This window comes from Homo sapiens, chromosome 18 (assembly GCF_000001405.40).
Source record: "Homo sapiens chromosome 18, GRCh38.p14 Primary Assembly".
Lineage (NCBI taxonomy): Eukaryota > Metazoa > Chordata > Mammalia > Primates > Hominidae > Homo > Homo sapiens.
In genome coordinates this window covers 36,712,012-36,733,337 of record NC_000018.10, presented here as the reverse complement: position 1 = coordinate 36,733,337, position 21,326 = coordinate 36,712,012, and the positions used below count along the sequence as shown (strand labels likewise).

At 45.2% G+C, this 21,326-nt stretch overlaps 1 protein-coding gene across 45 annotated transcripts in view; it reads right to left on the bottom strand.

Annotated features, from left to right (window-relative positions):
- FHOD3 (formin homology 2 domain containing 3) overlaps window positions 1–21,326 on the bottom strand; it is a 482,508-nt gene that overhangs the window by 46,883 nt on the left and 414,299 nt on the right. For all 45 annotated transcript variants that reach the window (XM_011526189.2, XM_011526190.3, XM_017026008.2 and 42 more), the window contains 2 exons: window positions 14,623–15,506; window positions 2,534–2,692 (listed from right to left, as the gene is read on the bottom strand). In XM_011526189.2, coding sequence (XP_011524491.1) covers window positions 2,534–2,692; window positions 14,623–15,506 — 1,043 coding nt within the window. The remainder of the gene's footprint in view (window positions 1–2,533; window positions 2,693–14,622; window positions 15,507–21,326) is intronic.

Below are 21,326 nucleotides of genomic sequence, written 5' to 3'. Positions count from 1 at the left end.
CTTATCTCCCCTAGAGGAGAGATGTGGGAGTTCAGTCAGGGTGGTGGGAAAAATTGTAAGAGGATATTATAGAAAAGAGAAGCAAACCTTCTTGGAAGGCCAGGGGGGTTGCATAGCTCCAGTAAAAGATTTGGCTGAAAGCAGCTTAATCCTCTCTACCTTGAGTTGACAGCAAAAGAGCAAATAACAAGGGAATGTGGGGGAGTTTATCTAAACAGCTTGTTTACTCATGTGGTCCTAAGACCAACCCTTGATTATCTGTGGGTGCATGATTGCTCTCTACTGGGAGGTCGGCAATGTTAATTTCCCTCTAGTGGTATTTACTCAAGACCTTTGTCATTTAATCCGTACTAAATAAATGCAAACTTCACTGGCTTATGGGGCAGATGCTGCAGATTCAGGAGCAGAAGCCCCTTAGCCGCACTGACAGACAAAATATCTATGTCAGTGTAAGTCTCTCATCCGTCACTGGGTTAGGGTCTGCGGGGACACGCTTTGCACTTGGTACATCCAGGTCCACCCAACAGCAGGCCACTGCCCTGCTCATCCTTTGTTCCTCTAGGAGGGTCCCAGAGTGGGATGCATCACACTGAGGCCTGGCCTGCCCCTTCCTGCGATCTGGCAACTGCCTCAGTCTCTCTCTCTGTATCTCCCAGCTGTCGCCCACTCACTCCTTCATGTCCCCTGCTCCGGTCTGCCGTGTGCCCTCACTCTTTCGATAGGCTGGATTCCTGGATTCGAGTGGGCCCTAAGTCCAATGACTGGTATCCTTATAAGAAGAAGGAAGTTTGAACACAGAGGAGAATGCTGTTTGAAGACAGAGAACACACCTGGATATGCTGACTGGCTTTGCTGCCTGGCTTGGCTCCAGAGCTCAGGGAACAACTTCTTCTGCCAGGAAAGAAGTGCATTTCCCTTATTGTACCTGTTCCTGGAACAGGGGGTGTATGTTTCTCAGAGTAGAGCTACTTGAGCCTTATATAGGTTTTCTAGGGGTGCCATAATAAAACGCCACAAACTGGGTGGCTTAAACAACAGAAATGCATTCTCCCACAGTTCTAGAATCTGGAAGTCCAAAATCAAGGTGTCAGCAGGACCATACTGTCTCTGAAGGCCCCAGGGGATGAACTTTGCTTCTTCCCAGTGCTGGTGGTTGTCCACGATCCTTGGTATTCTTTGGCTTTTAAAAACATCACTCTAATTTCCACCTCCGTCATCACATGGCATTCTGTATACCTGTGTGTTCTCTGTCTTCAAATAGCACTCTCCTCTCTGTGTTCAAACTTCCCTCTTCTTATAAGGATACCAGTCATTGGATTTAGAGCCCACCTGAATCCAGTATGACCTCATCTTAACTTGATTACATGTACAAGACCCTTTTTCCAAATAAGGTCACATCCTGGGTGGGCATGAATTTGGGGGTCCACTATTCAATGCAGTTCAGGCCTCTAGTAATGGCTTTTCCTATGAAGGTCCCTTCCTTCCAAAGCATGAAGGCATGCCTAGTGGGTTGGGTGCAGACCCCTCTACGTACTGTGTGCCCACTGCTCCCTCCCATTCCCAGGGCCATGGGTGATTCTGGCCAGAGGCCCAGGCCCTTCCTCACTCTCAACTTTTCTATAGAAGGCTTGCTCTCCCTCTCTGGAGTCAGGCATCATTGGTTCTGTCCATGCCCAAGTGTCTCAAACAAGAAGATGAACCCCAATCACAGAGAGGCTTTAAAGGAGTCTGGGGCCCCCTGCCAATAGGAGGATGGGTTAGGTGCCACCCAATGCCACAAAGCAGTGTCCCCAGATCCCCACTCTGACCCAGTGGGCCCCCAAGCTATAATACCCTTCTGTAGGAATTGGTGGGTGGGACACATCGGCTCTGCTCACTCTTTTCATTATTATAATAAGAGATTTAACCTGCTAAACTGGCACCAACCCACAGTGGAGGGAGAACGTGGCCTGTGGAAGAACATGAACCCAGGCCCTGCAGGTGAACCCTGTCTCCAGCTACCAGCTGTGCGGTCACAGCCATGCCACCCAGTGTCTCTCTACTTTGTGACATTCAGATCAACAAATGCTAAAGCTTCAGCTGGCTTGAGCTCTCTGGCTTATCAAATGAAATATGTCTCTCTGTACCCCAACAAATGCCAAGAGAGAAAGTTCTTACATGGATGTGCACATGTACTGAAAACCCTACCTTTGAAAGGTATGGTTTTTTAAACATACGTGGTTTAAAATGACATGAAACAAGACCCTAGTGGCTTCCCAAGGAGGTTATCATAGTCTTCTTCCATTTTGAGGTAGGCAGAATGTGGTCAGAGGCAGACTGGTAAATGAACCTGAGTGAAGATTGCTGAACTTCATAGGCAAAGTGAGACTCCCCCTCCCCTCAAAAAGTTTAACACGTGTAAGAATTATTAACCTTATTCAGAGTCTAGTTGAGACAGAAAGGCACCATGGATCTTTTGAAATGTGGACATGCAGCATATTATACATGCAGTATAAGATAAAATACAAATAATGCTTAATAGAGCTTCCCTCACCTCGATTCCTTCTTTGTTTAAGGCATACTCATCAAAATTCAAAATGGCGATCTTAATCGTCCTTGGAGGGGGCAGCACCGTCAGACCAATATTGATGGCGTTACTCCTCTTGGAATCCAGAACAATGATCTCTTGCCTTTTTCCATCTGCAGCAGTTTTCTTAGTGATAAAAAAGGAGAATCCAAGATTAATGCATCATCTTGGGTCCTTTCTGCATTTCATTATTAAAAGCACTCACTACTTATTTAGAGATGAAAACAAATGGCCCCAGTTCAGCTCAGAGAAGGACTGGCTACTGTTCAGCACAGAAAGTATCAGGGATTAGTTCTGAGATGCTGCCAAGCTTGGGTCAGCAACAGAACTTCAAGAGTCAGACACATACAAAAATAAAATGGATTTTCCTTCAATTGGGAAAATGTGATATTTTGCAAGAAAAAAAAATCTGTTTTTTCCATAGAAGCAGTGAAAACAAAATCAAAACCTTTCAGAATTCCTTTCTTGTGGGCTTTGAGGTGTCCGAATGTCTTGGTTGGCCTTCATACATATGGTGCGTGCCCAGAGAGAGCTGGTTTACATGCTGAGAAGAGAGGATCAATAAGGAGAATACAGCACCATTGGCCTGTCAGCCCCTCCAGATCTACAGCTGTACTGTCTCAAAGCCCTCACCTTGCCATTCAAACATTCCATGCCCCTTATACCAGAGCACCTCCACCTTTCCTGTGCACTTAGGCCTCTGTGCAGCTGCCTGGTAGATGAATGAAGAGGAGCCTTCCAAGGAAAAGAAAGGAAAGGGCATGCACTGGTGAGGATGAATAGGGGACGAACCAGCTTAGAGGCCTAGAAGGAGAGCAGGGAATAAGAAGTGTCCTGGCATTCTCAAAGCCCTTTTATGTGTGGCTTCCCAGGTGGCCTGTGTGGTCCTCAGAGGCAGGTCCTGGGCTTCACCTATCTCTGCAGCCAGCCCAGAATTAGCAAAAGATGGGAGCTTGGCAAGCACGTGTTATAAGCTGAATGTTTATGTCCCCTCAAAATTCATAAGTTGAAGCCCTAACCCCCAAAGTGATGATATTTGGAGGTAGGGCCTTTAGAGATACTTAGGTTTAGATGAGGTCACGAGGGTGGGATCCTCATGACGGGACTGGTGTCATTATAAGAAAAGACCAGAGTGCTACTAGTTCTCTCCCTCTGCTGCTTGAAGACACAGCAAGAAGGTGGCTGCTTACAAGCCAAGAAAAGTGCCCTCACTAGAAACCTAACTGGCCAGTACCTTGATCTGGAGTTCCCAGCCTCCAGAACTGTGAGAAATAAATTTCTGCTGTTTAGGTCACCTGTGTGTGGTATTTTATTATGGCAGCCTTAGCAAACTAAGACAGTGTCTGTGGGGTGATGAGTCAACCCTGTCACTGGCCAGAGCTGTGACCACAAGGCCCCCAGCTTTCCTCTTCAGCTCTCAGGAAGTTGGGTGCAGGTGGCACCTGGGGGCAGGTGGGAGAAGACTTGGCTCCACAAGCTCCCTGCTCTTGCTCAGGTTTCCTTTGAGGCAAACACACTTGGGAGGATGGCTATTTTGACTCATGTAACAAGTCTAGAGTAACAAAGATGAATGAGGCACTGTGGATCTCCTGAAGACACATTCAGCACAGTAATGGGGTGTGCTGCACCCTCTGTTGTTGAGGGAGCTCAACAGCAGAGCAACTGTAACTCACCTGGTGGTGGAGGGGCTCAGGGTCTGGAAGGGCTGACCCTTGGGCTAGGCCCTAAAGAATGTCTAGGATCTAGTCTGGGGACAGAAGACCTTCAGGAGATAAGAAGTGGCTTTGTCTAGGTTGTTAAAAACTGTCAGGGATGAGACTGGAAGTTTGATGGGGCCACATCCCAGAGGACCTGCTGACCCAGCCAAGCAGCTTCAACCACACTGTGCAGGCAGGTTCCCACTGAGCAACTGACTGCCACTCATCATCTGATCTCCTGCACTGAGGCCTCACCTTGTTCTCTAAAGCAGGGGCCCTGGCTAGGGCTGGGAGCAGCCAAGCCATCTAGAGAAACTGTTCTGCTGTAGCCCCAGGGACCGTGAGGCATCGAGGAGAAACAGGCTCAAGCCCAGCTTAAGTCCTCCTGGAACCTCCCAGACTTAGTTGCTAAATTTCTATTTTAGATCCTTAAATATGCAGTTGGGAATAAACTCAAACTTCTTCATTTAAAAAAAAAAAAACCCAACAACAACAACTGAAAACATCCCAGCTGTTTTGGATCCTGGTGATCAGGAGGGGCAATTCCTGTGGGTAGAGTTGTCAGCTTTGAACACTGGGCTCCCAGGGACACGTGGCATACATGCCTCCCCACTCTTCAGGGAAAGTGTTCTGTTCTACGTAGTTGACCTAAGAAACTTATCAGGAGTCCCTGGAAATTCTCAATTTAACTTTTAAATCTAATTTTATGTTGTGTGTGGAATGCTAAAGGAATGAGAAAAGTTTGACAGAATGTTAAATACAGGCAACAAAGAAGGATGTTACAACTAGCAATGCCAATACTGTGGTGCTGGAGGCCTGCTTCTCCGGGCACTGCTGGGCACCTACCCCAAATCCATGCCCTCTTCCCCACTCAGCAACAGGACTCTGATTTTTTTCAGGCTGGCAATGTGTCCATTAAATCAATTCCCTCCCTGGACCCTCTGCAACTGAAGCTGGCCCCATGACTTGGTTCTGGCTTTTGTTTTCCTGATTAAAAAGCAATAGAACTGGTGGGCCATGCCTTGTGCTCATCCCCCTTCTTCCTGCCTAGAATGGAGATAGGGGTCTGGAGGTGCAGTAGCAGGTGTCTTGTGAGCACAGGATGGCAGCAGGGATTCCCTGGGAACCAGTAGCCCTTAACCCCTCATCCACAAAACCCCATCACTCTAGGAGCCCAGCCAGCTCAACTGGAGTCTTTATGCAGATGACAAAATGAAGCCCCTTGCCATCACCCTGAGATTCAGCCCCATGGCAAACAGCTTGGGGGAGAAGCACTACTCAGATTCCAGCCTCATCTCTGGCAGCCAGTGTCCACATGTAGCAAGCAATTTGCACAGACCTACGTGGTGGCCCCGAGCCTGACATGCCCTTGGCCCCATTCTCAGTAGAGCTCAACTTACAGCAACACACATGCCTGCACACACCCCTCTAAGTCAGGGAGGGGTGCGCCACTGAGCACCCCAAGATCATGGGAGAGCTGTCCCCACAGAGGATTCTGCACATTTGCAGAGCACTTCCACCCATATCATGAAGGAAAGAATAAGCATTAAAGGAATACCTGAAATGGAATTATGCAAGCTCTAGATTTTAGCAAAAAGGTGCTTTAAGTGCTGTTCTTCATAATCAAAATAAACCTCCACCAGATGCTACTAAACACTCAAGTGTCATCTGGTTAGTACTGCCCAAGATGAGGGAGTGGGTTGGGTAGGGCTGTCCAACTCTCTCCTTCCCTCTGACAATAATCTAAAGCAGCACTTACAAGAGCAAGGCAGAGCTCTCTGTGCCTATATCCATGTCTAAGGATTGGCAGTCATCTATTCTGATCCATTTGAATTGTCCTTCTGAGCCAAAGCCTCAAGTCAGCAATAGTGAACTTCACTAGTCCTCCACATGGTCCTAAGACAGAGCAACTGTGGTCCACTCTTCCTTCCCAAAGCGTCTCATCCCCATCCATACTTCTCCATTCCCACCTCTCCACCCTAGGCCTGACCACCCAGAACCCCACTTCTCAGAGCAGCCCAGCACTCGCCTCCTGCTTCTGATCTCTTCTCTCCCTAACCCATCCATCCATCCATCCTACTCTTGCTAAAAGGAACTTTTCTGGTCAGGCACAGTGGCTCAAGCCTGTAATCCCAGCACTTTGGGAGGCCGAGGTGGGCAGATCACGAGGTCAAGAGATCGAGGCCATCCTGGCCAACATAGTGAAACCCCGTCTCTACTAAAAATACAAAAATTAGCTGGGTATGGTGGCACGTGCCTGTAGTCCCAGCTACTCGGGAGGCTGAGGCAGGAGAATCACTTGAACCCAGGAGGCAGAGGTTGCAGTGAGCAGAGTTTACGCCACTGCACTCCAGCCTGGGTGACAGAGTGAGACTCCATCTCAAAAAAAAAGAAAAGAAAAAAAAGAGGCACTTTTCCTTAGTGCATTCCTTTGGTCAGAAAGCCACAGTGGTTTTCCATGGTTTAAAATTTGAAAATAAGGAAATTGGTCAATGATGGGAAGAGGATATAAAGCAGAGGTCAGAGAAGAAAGAGTGGTCCTTGTGAAGGTTAGAAAATGTAAATGCCTTTCTTGAAGGGGATGGCATCCAGAAAGAGGGAGTGAGATGTGACGGGGCAGAGGTCAGACAGGTATCAGTAACAGGAGAGGAAGCAATGCCTCTAAGTAGGAAATCAGAAAGTTGTTCTGCAATTGATGAGAAACCAGACAACCCCCAAAAATACCCAAACAAGGAAACAAAGCAAAAAACCTCTTGTATCTTCTACCTGAAGAAAATGACAACATTTTCTTGAGAGTAATAAAAGAAGACTTGGATAAATGAGAAACCTCATGTTCCTGGATAAGAAGTTTCAACATCATAAGTGTGCTGTAGTTATCTCTTATCTAATTATATATATTTATATATGTAACATGTATATTTACATATATAAAATATATATAAAAGTAATACATATATTGGCTGTCCAATAGATATGTTACCTTTATTTTGCATATACATAATCCTATCAAAATCCCCATAAGATTTGTTTTTGGAGTTAGAAAAAAAAATGTCTAAAGTGAACATGAAAGAATATATGTATGAAAGTGTCAAACATGTTCTTAAAATGTAGAGTTAGATATAATATCTACCCAATCAGCTATCAGCTATATAGCACTGGCCCTAGAATAGTTGGAATAATAGAACAGAATAGAATAATAGTACAGAAAAAGCTCTATACAATGGTCCAGGACATTCTAACAAAGACACTAAGATTAGTGACCCAGAATCTAACATAAAAAGATCCATTTTTAATATGGAATCAGAAAAACTAACTTTAAGCCAAACAAACCGATATGGCGAGTGAACATTATGACAGGCTGGATTGACTGACATGTTCCTTCTCAGGAAGGGAAAAGGCCAGGGGAAAGCAGGAACCCAGGCTGATGTGGGAATGGCCAAGTGTCAGCACGGCACAAGTACACCACAGCCAGGAGATCCCCTTGCTGACTTGGGTATGATACCACCCTGCTGCCTGGAGTCTCAAGACATTCTCAGTGACGGTCCATGATGCTGAACCCTGCACAGGTACAGAAGAGGCTGAGAAACAAGCCCAGTCCCTGATGGTCTCTTTCTGATTGACTGTGTAAGCTTCCCTATATTTATCGCCTCTCTTTGATATATAATCCACTTCCTTAAACAGGTAATTCCTGAGTGCCTGCTGTTAGGTGCCTGGTTCTCAAGTGGGAACATTTCCATGCAGACTAACAAAAAATGCATACCTCTGGAGGGCCAGGATGCCCCCAACACCCATGGTCAGCTCTGGAGCAACAGGACATTGGGTTTTTTGTCTTAATTTGTCGATAAAAGAACAATTAGCCAAAGCTCTGCCCTCTTCCTCAGCAAGTTCCAAGAACTCTCAGGGAGGAAGTGATGATGGAAGGAGGTGCCTGAGCCCAGGCTCCAGGTACAGGATGCTAGACTAGGGGTTGGCTGGATGTGAAAACAGGAACAACTATCTTTGGGTGGTCAGCAAAAAGGCGGACATGAGATAGTGTGTGGGAAACCATGGCAGGGCCATCTCTGAACATGCTGCTTTCCCAAATATGTCCAGAAGTGCTCAAGGAAAGAGAGGACCTTGCTTCTTTAAGGGTGTAGGGAGAAGCCTGGGAAGCAGCCAGGCTCTGTTTTGGTTCCAGAAAGCCTAGTTAAGCTGAACGCCCACGGCAGAGCTCCTCCTTCGGAGCTCCAACTACCGGGAGCCTCCAACATGCCCGTAGTAGCCCTTCTCCCCTGGAGGAAAGACAGTCTCCGGAGAAAAGCTTCAGGATGAATGCCATGTAAGGCTTTTATTTGTTTTTGTTTTTGACTTGGCTAAGAACACTGCAGGGAGAGGGAGCAGGGGTGTGCACAGCCAAGATGAGGGAGAGGCAGAGGTTACCCTTTGTGGAAAGAGAGGCTGTCTAGGCGAGCAGGAAACTCAAAGGGAGCAGGAGGGCGGTCATTAAGGCAACTCAGGGACTGGGTCCAGCTTCTAGGAAGATGCAGGTGAGCCCCTCTAGGGTGAGGCTTCAAACAGACAGCACTCAAGGCTAGAAGAGTCACAGGATTCCTGAGAAGGGGAGGCAGCGACTGTCAACTGCCAAAGCTTCGGGAAGAGCTGTGCCTGTTCTCGGCAGCCCCAGATTCAGCTGGTGGGCAGCTACCTGGGTTGGGAGTCCGCTTTCTAGAACCAGCAGCCCCAGGAGGCAGGAGCCTGCAAACTCAGCCACTCCGTGGGGCAGAAAGTCACACATGGTAATAGGAATATTTTCTAGAACCGCTAAGCCAGATATTTAGGCTCGGCTGGATATAAGCACTGCAGAGCCACAAGTCTACCCAGGTGGATCCTTGGTGAGACACCAATCCTTGATGCACACAGATGGCAAAATGCCCATGCAGAGGAGATGCCCGAGTCAGGCTTTCGGATAGAACAAATTAAACCTCCAAGTAAAAGTATTTAAGAATCTGCAAGTAAAGACTCAAACTTGATTTGGAATGGTTATTGGAAAAGAGTGACCATCATGCAAGAGTGACCACAACCTAGTTTCAGTAGGCATCCTGGGAAAGAAAAAGACCTAACTTCCCCCTCAGAGACATTCCGTTTTGGAAAAAGAAGAGTGAGGATTCAGGTTGCAGTTAGGAAAAGAAGTGGAAAGAAAAATTTAAATAGTTAATAGTAGTCATTAAGCTTAAGGCTTCCTGAAATGTTGCCACATCATATTGCCCCTTTGCATTTTTAAAGAGTATTTTACTAGTATCAGAGGATGCACCCCAGAAGGTGCTGCAATTGATAATAGACACTGGGCTGAGGACTTGATTTATTAAGAGAGCTGCAGGAGGTTTGGGGAGTGCTGGTGAGTCTGAGAGCACTTCCATGAAAGGCGACAGACCTTTGCAAATGCTTCTCTGCATCACTGTTGGAGACCTTGGGTCGGGCTCAGAGAGGCAGAAGTTCTAGAAATGGTAAATCATCCCTCCTCGCTCCCTGCCAAAAGAGTGATGCCACAGGATATTTTCAAAACTGTCCGTTGAGAAAGTGACAGTTACAAGGATGCAATGACACAGATGTCACAAAGATGTGACAACTATGGAATTTTCCTAAAGTCTTGAAACAAGGGAGACGGGGAGATGTATAGGAAAGTATTAAGGCAAACCGCCCCCCATCCACACACCCACCAACACACACACCCTAAAATGAAAAACAAAAACAAAAAACTAAGCCCAAGCAAAGGCTGAGGAATCCTTAGTCAGAAATAAAATTTCTTGCCAGGTAAGGTTTGCCTTATTGTTAAAGGAAAGAGTATTAATTTCTCATATTTGCCCTTTGGGTTGTCTAGAGCAGAGGCCAACTGTTAAACAGACTTCCTGCATGAATTCAGTTTATTTGTTATCCTAATCCAGAGACCCAGGAGAGAGGAAGGGAGTCTCCATGCCCTCCAGGGGCTTTTGGCCCTGACATCTTTCTCTGGGGTCATTTTATTCTCCTATACGATTCACCACATCCTATAGGACCAGCAGGCACACACCAGAAGTGTCTGGGCACACTTCAGCCCTGCTGAAGTCCCAGAGCTGTGTTCAGAGTTTCTAGGTAGAATTCAGGTTTCTGAGGGGAATGTTAAATAACTTATTATGTCCTGAACTTGAATACAGCATAGGAGGATTTCTATCTCCTCTCAGGAAAATCAAAAGGGTCAGGGGGTGTCAATGTGGAGAGTGGTGGTGGGGAACACAGTGCTCCTTCAGCGCCTCATTTTTCACCTGAAATCAGTGGCTCATAACCTTGGTTGTACTTGAGAGTCCCTGAGGAGCTTTTAAAAATATACTTGGGAAGCTGAGGTGGGAGGATCGTTTGAGCCCAGGAGTTTGAGGCCGTAGTGAGCTATCATTGTGCCACTGCACTCCAGCCTGGGCGACAGAGTGACACCTTATCTCTAAGAAATAAAAATAAGAAAAATAACCCAGGCCAAGGCTCACCCTGACCTAATTTTTATTTAAAAGTTGCTGTTACTAGTTCAAATAGATTTAGAAACTTCAAGATAAATAAACTTCTCCAGATACATTCTGGGCTCCCTCCCTATGACAAACCTAATGAATGCAAGAGAGTAAGACAACATCAGGTCCCCAAAGTGGAAACTGAGTTCCACTCCATGTCTGTTTTGGTCTGGCTGTAACTTGGGGCATAGAAGCTGCCCTTTGAGAACAGGAGGGATTTTGCTGCCCCTGGTTAGGTACAAGGGTTGGGAAGTCACTTTCCTGGGGCTCCCCAGGGTGATGTCAAGCCCAAGGAAGTCTCAGGGCTTTCTGCCCTGACATCTTTCTTAGGGTCACTTTGTCTCCTATGGGGCTCACCACATCTTAGACCAGCAGTCAGAACATAATGAAATTTAGCACAGGATTTCTACCTTTTACCATAAAACACAATATGATTCATCTTATTAAAATACCATATAATTCCAGCTGATAGAGAAAAATTGATCCAATTCCAGAAACTATTTTGAAAGAAAATTAAAAATCGCATCTTTTCAGTCTTATCATTTTTTCATTAGGTGGTCACCCCAGCCTTAGATCTGGCTCATGAATCTTTGTTTTTGGGTGGCTTAGTCACAGCCATGCCCAATAACTCTGGTCTAATGTTACTTTTTTTGATGAAACCTAAAACCAATTCTCTTTGTTTTGTGCTGTCTTGTGAAGTCTATTTCACTCTACTTTTGTTGCATTTTATTTATTGTACTTAATTTAAAAATTTCTGAGCCAGAAACCCAAAGTGGCTGTTTACATTTTGATTTATGAAAACCACAGTCAAGGATTAGAAACAGAAATGAAATTGGTTATATCTACAGTGGTAACATATGCAAAATGGATTCAGCTCTCCAGTGTAATGTGGGGTTTGTTGTTTTTTTGCTTTTTTGAGACAGAGTCTTGCTCTGTCACCCAGACTGGAGTGCAGTGGCATGATCACAGCTCAATGCAACCTTGACCTTCTCAGGCTCAGGATATCTTCCCATCTCAGCCTCCCAAGTAGCTGGGACTACAGGAATGTACTACCATCCCTGGCTGTGTGCGTGTGTGTACATTTTATAGAGATGGGGTTTCACCATGTTGTCCAGGCTGGTCTCAAACTCCTGAGCTCAAGCCATCTACCTGCCTTGGCCTCCTAAAGTGCTGGAATTACCAGAATGAGCCACCCATCATGGCCAAAACACAGTGACGTGTTTTAATCCTAACTTGCATTCTTACCTTTTGTAACATTTTGTAAAGTAGCTCCTGTTCACATTTCCTATCCCAAAGACAAAGGTAGGGGTTTTTGGGTCTCATTATAGAACATTCTGGAATCAGTTTGGTAAACTTTTCGTCCAATATACCACTTTCCTCTTATGCTCCTACTTGATAAAAACTATGCAAACATTTGTCTATTAGCTAGGCAATACATTGTTCTAGAGGTCACTACCTGCTTCAGGCAATCATGGAACTTTGGGCTGAGACAAAAGAGGCTAGAATATTATCACGGACCAAATTGGCTGCAGTGGGACCAAGAGAAGGAGGGAGGTAGGTGAAGCATTAATTTTGGGCCTTCTCGAGGAAACTTTTAATCTTGTAAAAATGAAGCTAGGAGTGCCTTCACCTCCATACTTTTACTCCATTTTATTCCTCCCAATACTGAGTCAAGGGGCAGCTTCTTCCCAGCAACCTGATCGGGAACCACGAAAAGCCTAGAGGTGCAGCCAGCCAAGTGGGCAATGAGGGGAGGAAGAGGAGGAGGAAGAGGAGGAGGAAGAGGAGGAGGAGGAGAAGGAGCAGGAGGAGAAGAAGGAGGAGGAGAAGAAGAAGGAGGAAGAGAAGGAGGAGGAGGAGGAGAAGGAGGGGGAGGAGGAATATTCTGTCCAATTAGGTCAGTAGGTTGGAAGGTGGTGTCAGCAAGTCAGGTCATGGGTAACTTCTAGCAACCACAGACTGCTGTCTTAATCGTGGCTGGTCTTCTCCTAAATGTCAGGCTGCCTATAAGAATTGGAAGGGGGAGGCCAGGCGCAGTGGCTCACTCCTGTAATCCTAGCACTTGGGGAGGCTGAGGCAGGTGGATCACCTGAGGTTGAGAGTTTGAGACCAGCCTGGCCAACATGGTGAAACCCCATCTCTACTAAAAATACAAAAATTAGCTGGGTGTAGCAGTGGGCACCTGTAATCCCAGCTACTCAGGAGGCGGAGGCAGGAGAATCTCTTGAACCCGGGAGGTGGAGGTTGCAGTGAGCCAAGATCACACCACTGCACTCCATCCTGGGCGACAGAGCAAGACTCTGCCTCAAAAAAAAAAAAAAAAAAAGAATTGGAACGGGGCATGTGGATGGCTCGGCACCACTTGGTACCAGTCCTAGAAAGTCAGGACACAGACACACCAAGAGTGGGTGTCTGGCAACCCTTTCTTAGGTGTTATTTTCTGGAGAGGACAAAAGCTGGGTCTACTTTCAACTGAAGGACAGGACTGATTGGGCATGATTTTTTACACTGGATCCTAACGGTGTAGATTTGTAAATGAGAAAGCTTTAATTTTGACTTGAGGAGATTCCTGAGGCTGGAAATGATTTAGACTCATGCCATGAGTGAGTGAGAAACACACACTGGGGTAAACACCAATCAGTGAAGGGCAGCAAGCAGCTTAAGAATCCCAGCACATTTTGAAAGGAAGCTGATCAACTACAGCTCCCCTGGCTGGCCTGTCAACATCCCACAGCAGTGACAGGCACTAACTCTGTCACTGTGCTCCTCGTCTGAAGGGCTCACTTGTTCTGAGGATCCTGCATGTAATTTTGATACAGAATTGGTGCCCAAATGGCATTGCTGGAAACCTGACTCAGACAGTTTCATACTCACCCAAAAAGATGATAAATGCATGCAGCAACGCAGGGAGTTAAAATTAATTCATGATTATAAGCTCTTGCATGTTTATTCTAAATTATGCTTTACAAAGTGCTTTCTCCTACCCCTTATACCTTAAAAGAGGAGATAACCTTAAACCTGTTTTAAAACTGGAAAATATCCAGAATGGGTTTTTAAAAGTCAGCTAAGATAGGCGAAGAAGTCTCTACTAATGTAGGGAATTAGATATAAAATCTGTGATCCCATATCTTGCAGTTTATCAGTGTAAATTAACCATGACTTAACCTTTGGTGCCCAATAACTTTATGTACAGTGTTTCCATTGATAAAAGTGGTATAACATCTTTGTTACTATCACAGCAGCAGTGGCTATAGGACTCTCAAACATTTATCCAAAATACTAAATCTAGAGGCATGTGTAATATTGACAGGATGCCAAATATACGGCTGCTGGAAAACTAGATAGCTGCAGAATGCTGGCTTGATCAGGGCCAAGCCAAAGAAATGTCAGTTGGATTATTGCCTTTGAGCTTATTGGGTGGTTACAGATAAAGTTCAAACTACTACTATCACTCATAGTCAATGAAGGTAAGATTAAATAAGCATATCCCGTGTTTGGTGAGTCAGCAAGTCCACTTTCTCTAGTTAACATCAATATCTGCTATTGGGCTATGCTGACATTCCTTAGTTGACCATTTTTGTCTTTTCCTCAGGGCTATCTGGTTCTTTGAAAGCTCCTTTGCCTAATATAAGTAAGCTGGTGACCATGTTAGCTAATAAGGGTCTCTGACTCATGTAGCCTACACCTAGCATGTGGCAGAAGGAACACTATATTAAAGATCAAATTTTCATACCAATGGACTTTTTACCAAATAGCAAAAGCAATGCAAAATAGTATTTTATACAGAACGAATCTCTTCAGCCCTACCCAACTTCCAATCAAGAAGCATGCTGAAGACTAGCAGTACCTTTGAGACAGACAGTTCCTTGGATTTAGACTCAAACAGGTGCTCCAGTCTGGAAGTGTCCACCTTAATGGGTTCCAGTTTTGACCACAGGAATTCTCTGCAGCGTCGGTTGTTTTTACATGGCCAGTCAAAAGGCCGAACTTCATTCCAGAACAAACGGATGGTCTTCTTTTTCTTAGTGAATGTGGGCTGACCCCTGGGTACCTGGGACCACCCTAAGCCCTGAGGAGCGTTGAACACTGGAGGAGGAGGAACCAATAAATTACCAGGGACAGGAGGGGGAGGAATGCTGTCCAACAGGGGCGGAGGGGGTGGGGGCGGCAAACCCAGAAAGGTGGGTGGGGGTGGGGGAGGTGGCCCAGGGGCCTCCCTGTGACCCAGGTCCACATCTAGGACATCAATGTCATCCTCCTCCCCCAGGTCAGTGAAATCCATGTCTTGGATTCTGAGCTCTCTTGGATTGGCCATGAGCTGGTCCCAGATGTAATCAGACTCTGTCTTCGGCTGCACCGGCGCTGTTTCTGGGACCTTGTCATTGGGCTCAGCATCAGGGGAGATGGAACCTCTCCCCAGGTCCCCACTGTTGAATTTCTCAGCAAATGCTTTCACACTGCCCCGATTGTCCAAACAGCCGACATCCACCCTCCTGACACTCTCATCCTGGGTCTGAGAGTTGGCCTGCAGGGTGGATATCCTGGTAGCAAGGCTGGCTACCGCCTCTGCCTCCTGCTGGGTCCTCCCAGCCTCCCCATCCCCCTTCTCCTCATCATCCGGAGACTTCCTGTTATGGGCATACAGCATGTCAAGCATGAACCGTTTGTTGGTGAGGATGTCGCCACACTGTCCATTTACACCTGCATCCTGGACACCTGCGGGCCACAAACCTGAAAGTACATGGGAGAGAAAAATGAGAAAGGGGCAAGGGGGCCTCACTTCCATGAGAGAATCGATGAGAATAAGTGAGCCTGACACATGGGAGTGACTTCAGAGAAGACACTGCATGAGCAGTCAAAGCCGTGGCTGACAAGGCGCTCTTGGGCAAGAAGAGATGCTGCTTTATAGTCCCAAAGACCCACACCAGGACCCAAGACTCTTCCAGGCATGACGCTGCTCCTGGCTCCTACCTGGGCTCATGGGAGAAATCTTCCTCCTTTTTCCTGCCCACCCAAGGCAGCGGGTCAGGACCTACTCAGCCACAGGTAACTAAGGAGCCTCTGCCCTAACTTGAGATAGGGAGGCAAGAAGCCACTCCCTGGCCCCAGCAGGTATTAGAGAGCCTGAAAGATTACCTCTGTTTCTCTCCCCTACTCTAAATCTGCACTAGTGCAGCTCAAAGTGCCTCAAAAACACACAAACTGTGCCACTGATCACTCTTTAGGTTCACTCCTTATCACGGTCCCTAGTCTCCAGGGGGCTGAATGCTGCCTGGCAATCTCACCCACTCCTCTCCAAGGTGACTTTCCATAGCCCTCTCTTCTCTAACCTCCTAGCCCGTCTCATCCTCAGAGATAACCTTGCCTCCAAGTTCAGTGACTTAACAGATGAAGCCAGAAGGCATCTTCCAGAGCCTCCCTTCCACCTCTACTCTCCCACCTGCATTGACCCTCAGAACACAGCTTCCCTCCTGCAACTGCCTCATAAACATACCTCTTAGCAGGGGTCGACTGCCCACTTGTGCATTAGTAACCCACTCCAGAAATTCTCTGTCCTGTATTTCCCATGGCCTTCCCACTAGAGTCTTCCTTCTGGCACATTAACACATACACACACACACACACACACACACACACACACACACACATACACATATATAATTTCCCCCGTCTTAAAAAAGCAAAACCACCCTTGGCCCCACTCATCCCTCTAGCTATCACCTAACTTTAACTTTTCTCATTTCCTCATAAGAGTTGCTTTGCCCACTGCCTCCAATTTCTCTTTTTCTTTTCTCTTGGACCCAGTCAAAGGGAGCTATTGCTCCCACCACCCTTCTCAGCTGCTGCTTTCAGGTACCAGTGACTTTTGTGTTGCACTAGACACAGCCAACCACTCCCTCCTCCCTCACAGGGCTCCCAGGACATCTGGCTACTCCTTCTCAGTCTCCGTTGCTGCTTCCTCCTTATCATTAACCTTTAAATGTCCTTGGACCTCTTCTCTCCATCTGCACTCTTTCAGTCTCATCTAGTTTCAAGGCATTAAATGCCATCCATAAAATACCACCTTCTCCAACCCTGCTCTCCCCAACCTAAACTGCTTCTCCTGCAATCCTTTGCTGTCTCAGCTACGGCAACTTAATCCGTCTTGCTGCTAATTCCAAAAACCTCAGAGTCATTCCTGACTCCTTCTTTTCTTTCATCCTCCACATCCAGTGTTGCTGTGCATCTTGTTGGCTACACCTTCATGTCATATCCAGAATCCAGCTGCTTTTCTCAGCACCTCTGCTACCACAACCATGGGCCAGGCCAGCGTGGGTTCCTGCCTGCAGTACTGCAGGGGCGTCCCCACTGGACTCTCTGCTTCTAGTCATGTCCCTTGACAGCCAGTTCTTACCCCAACAGCCACATGATGTTTATAAAAATGTCTGATCATATCTTTCTGCTCAAAGTCTTTTAACAGCACCAACGTTCACTGTGAGAAAAGGCCAATGACATGACGTTCACAAGGCCTTCCATGATCCTTCCTTACTTTTCATTCATCGCACACCACCACCAACACTCCCTGACCCCCAGACACACATGCCCATAAACCTCGTTAGCTACAGCAACTTCTTCCCATTCCTAGAACTCACCAAGTATGATCTGGCCTCAGGGTGTCAGCCCCTCCTGGGATAAACTACACCTAGTTAATCACACAATTTTATCCTTGACCTCTTGTCTTTACTCAAACCATATCTTCTCAGTGAAGTCTTCCCTGACCACTAGTGAAAACTGTGCAATCCTCCCCCAACACTGTTGATCATCCTTTCCTGCTTTATTTTTCATCACAGCTCTTATGACTATCAAATCTGTCACGTTTTACTTATTTTATTGTCTGCCTCTGCCCTATCACTGAAATGATTATAATTACTCAATAAATTGCCTTTTTCATGGATGTAAACTCTGTGAGAACAGGATTTGGGTTTGTTTTGCTCACTGTTGTTTCTGCAACATCTGGACAACTGAATGAATGAATGAAGGAATGATCAGGAATGTTACTCCTCTGGGTTTGCCTCTTTGGGGCTTGTATTAGTCTGTTCTCATGCTGCTATAAAGGGCTGCCCGAGACTGGGTAATTTATAAAGGAAAGAGGTTTAATTGACTCACAGTTCAGCATGGCTGGGGAGGCCACAGGAAACTTACAATCACGGCAGAAGGGGAAGAAAACATGTCCTCCTTTACGTGGTGGCAGGAGAGAGAAGAATGAGTGCCCAGCAAAGAGGGAAGCGCCTTAAAAAACTATCAGATCTTGTGAGAACTAATTCACTATCATGAGAACAGGATGGGGGAAACCACGCCCATGATTCAATTATTTTCACCTGGTCCCTCCCATGACCTGTGGGGATTATGGGAACTATAATTCAAGATGAGATTTGGGTGAGAACACAGCCAAACCTCATCAGGGCTGGCAGAGCCAGGTAGTGAGTGCTTCAGTTCCATCAGCTTTCCAGGGCCTCAGTGGATCCTAATGTTGGGATGTGGCAGCAGACCCAGGCCTGGGAGGTCAGCATTGGGAGCTTCATTCAGCCGAAGGAACATCCCCCTCAAACACGTGGAGGGTGGGCCCTGGCTTGAGGAGGCATTGACAGGGGGATCACAAGGTCCCCCAGGATTTCCAGTGTATCTTTGTTCTCTGTCCTTGGTGCAACAATGGCTTAACCTGACCAGGGGACCTTAGGCCATCTCAACACCAGAACAAGGAGCTACTGAACCCTCTTTTAGGTTTTACAAACAAAATATCTTAGGAAATAATCACCATCAAAAGGAGATGAGATGCCATCTGAGGATAATAGCAAAAAATCTGGCTAGGTAGAGTTTCAACAACTGGTCAGATACTAGGGAGACCACTAGGAGGCTGCAGCAGATAAAGTGGCTGAGCCCTTCTTAAGAGACAGCCTTGCTCTTTCTCCATTTATTGGGAAATGTGAGCATTTTCTTATTTTGGGAACAGGGAAAATAATATAATCAGGTAATATTTTTTTTCTTCGAGACAGAGTCTCACTGTGTCGCCCAGACTGGAGTGCAGTGATGTGATCTCGGCTCAATGCAGCCTCTACCTCCCAAGTTCAAACAGTTTCATGTCTCAGCCTCCTGAGTAGCTGTGACTACAGGCGCGAGCCACCATGCCCAGCTAATTTTTGTATTTTTAGTAGAAATGGGAGTTTCACCATGTTGACCAGGCTGGTCTCGAACCCCTGAATTCAAGTGATCTGCCCGCCTCGGCCTCCCAAAGTGCTGGGAATACATGTGTGAGCCACCACGCCCAGGCAATCAGGTAATATTTTTAAAATGCCAGTTTTCTTGCTTATTCTCTTCATTAATTTATGACTCCTTTTATCATTCTGTAGTGACCCTCTTTGTCCTTAGTAATTTCCTTTGCTCTGAAATCTACTTTAACTGATGTAGCCATTCCTGCTTTTCTCTGATTTAATTTTTGCATAATATATCTTTTCTCAACTTTTTTTTCTTCCTTTCGTACCTAGTCCTACAGACTTTTTCCCCCAACTTTTAAGTTACAATCTACCTGTGTCATTATGTTTGAGAAGAGTTTTCTATATATGGTATATAATTGTGTCATTTTTAATCCACTCTGCCATCTATCTTTTAATTTAAAGGAATTACTGATATGTTAGAGCTTAAGTCTGCCACTTGTCTTATTTGTTCTATTTGTTTTAGTTCCTGTTTCTCCTTTGTCTTCTATGGGTTACTTGAATACTTTTTTTTACTTTAACAAATTTTCAAATTGATACATAATAGATGTTTTTGGGGTACATGTGATAATTTAATACATTCATATAATTTGTAAAGATAAAATCAATGTAATTGGGATATCCATCACCTTAAATATTGTCTTTTCTTTTTGTTACAAACATTCAAATTATTCTACTTTGAAATATACACATTATTGTAAACTATAATTTCCCTACTGATCCTATAGAACGCTACATCTTATTTTTTCTTTCAAATTGTATACTTGTACCCATTAGTCAACCTTTCTTCATCCCCTTTGATTATTTTTCAGAATTTCATTTTGATTTATTTATAGTGTTCCAAGTACATTGTTTCTTCTGGTTTTTGTAGTGGTTGCTCTAGGCATTACAATATATACACTAACCACAGTAAACTAGTATTGCTGTTTAACCACTCTGAAGTGTGGAAAACTTACTTCCATTTTGATACCGTTAGCTTCCCTACTCTGAAAGTATAGTTGTCCTAAGTATTCCTCTGCATACACAGAGCACTACATCACATGATGTTATAATTTTTGCTTCAACCATCAAGTACGATTTAGTAACTCATAAGCAGAAAGTCTATTTACCCCTGCTTTCACCCATTCTGTTGTCCTTTCCTTCCTGAAGTTCCAAACCTTCTGTCATTATTTTATTTCTGTTTGGAGAACCTCCGGTAGTAATTCTTTGAGGATAGGTCTGTTAGGGACCCACTCTTTTAGTTTTTCTTTATCTGAGAATGTCTTATTTTCCCTTCATTCTTAAAGGATACATATGAGGGATATAGAATTTATAGTTGACGGTTCTTTTCTTTTAGCACTTGCAAAATGTTGCGCCCCTTCCTGCTAGCCTCCATGGTTTCAGATGAGCAATGTGCTGTCATTTGGACTGGTGTTCCCCTATAGGTAATATGTTTCTTTCTAGCCTCTTACAAAATTTTTTTTTTTTTTTGGTCTTTAGTTTTCATAAGTTTGATTATCATGTCTTGGTGTGAATGTCTTTAAATTTGTCTTGTTTGGGGTTTGCTCAGCTTCCTAAATTTATGAGTTTATACCTTTTGACAAATTTGAGAAGTTTTGGTCCATTATTTCTTCAAAGCATTTTTCAGCATTACACTCTCTCTCCTCCCCAGATTCCGATGAATTGGCGTTAGATCGAGTCTTATTGTCTCACAGGTCCCTGAGGCTCTGTTCATGTTTTTCAGTCTCTTTTTTTCTGTCATTCAGAGTTCGTAATTTCCACTGATTTGTTTTTGAGTTGGCTAATCATTTCTTTTGTTGTCTCCAATCTACTATTAAGCCCATCCAGTAAGTATTTTTTTTTTTTGTTGTTACTGTGTTTTTCAGTTCTACAATTTCCCTTTGGTTCTTTTTAATATCTTTTATTTCTTTGCTGAGATATTTTACTTTTTACGTATTCCCTAAGTGTTTGTAACTGCTCACTGAAGCAATATCATTATGGCTGCTTCAAAATCCCCGTCACATAATTCCAATGTCTGGCTCATCTCAGTGTTGGCATCTGTTTATTGCATTTTCCCATTCAAGATGTGATTGCCTTAGCTCTTGAAATGATGAGTGATTTTTCCATTATGTCTTGGACATTTTATGCTTTATTAGACTTTGGCTCCTATCTAATCTATTAGCTGGTAGTCACCCTTTTTAGGTATAGCATACAGGTGCTGGTGGAGGGAGATGTTCAGCTCCTTGCTGGATCTTTCTGTCACCACCCCAGCAAGAGCGCTGACTCACACTGGCTCATTGCAGATGAGGAGGGTAGAACGTCA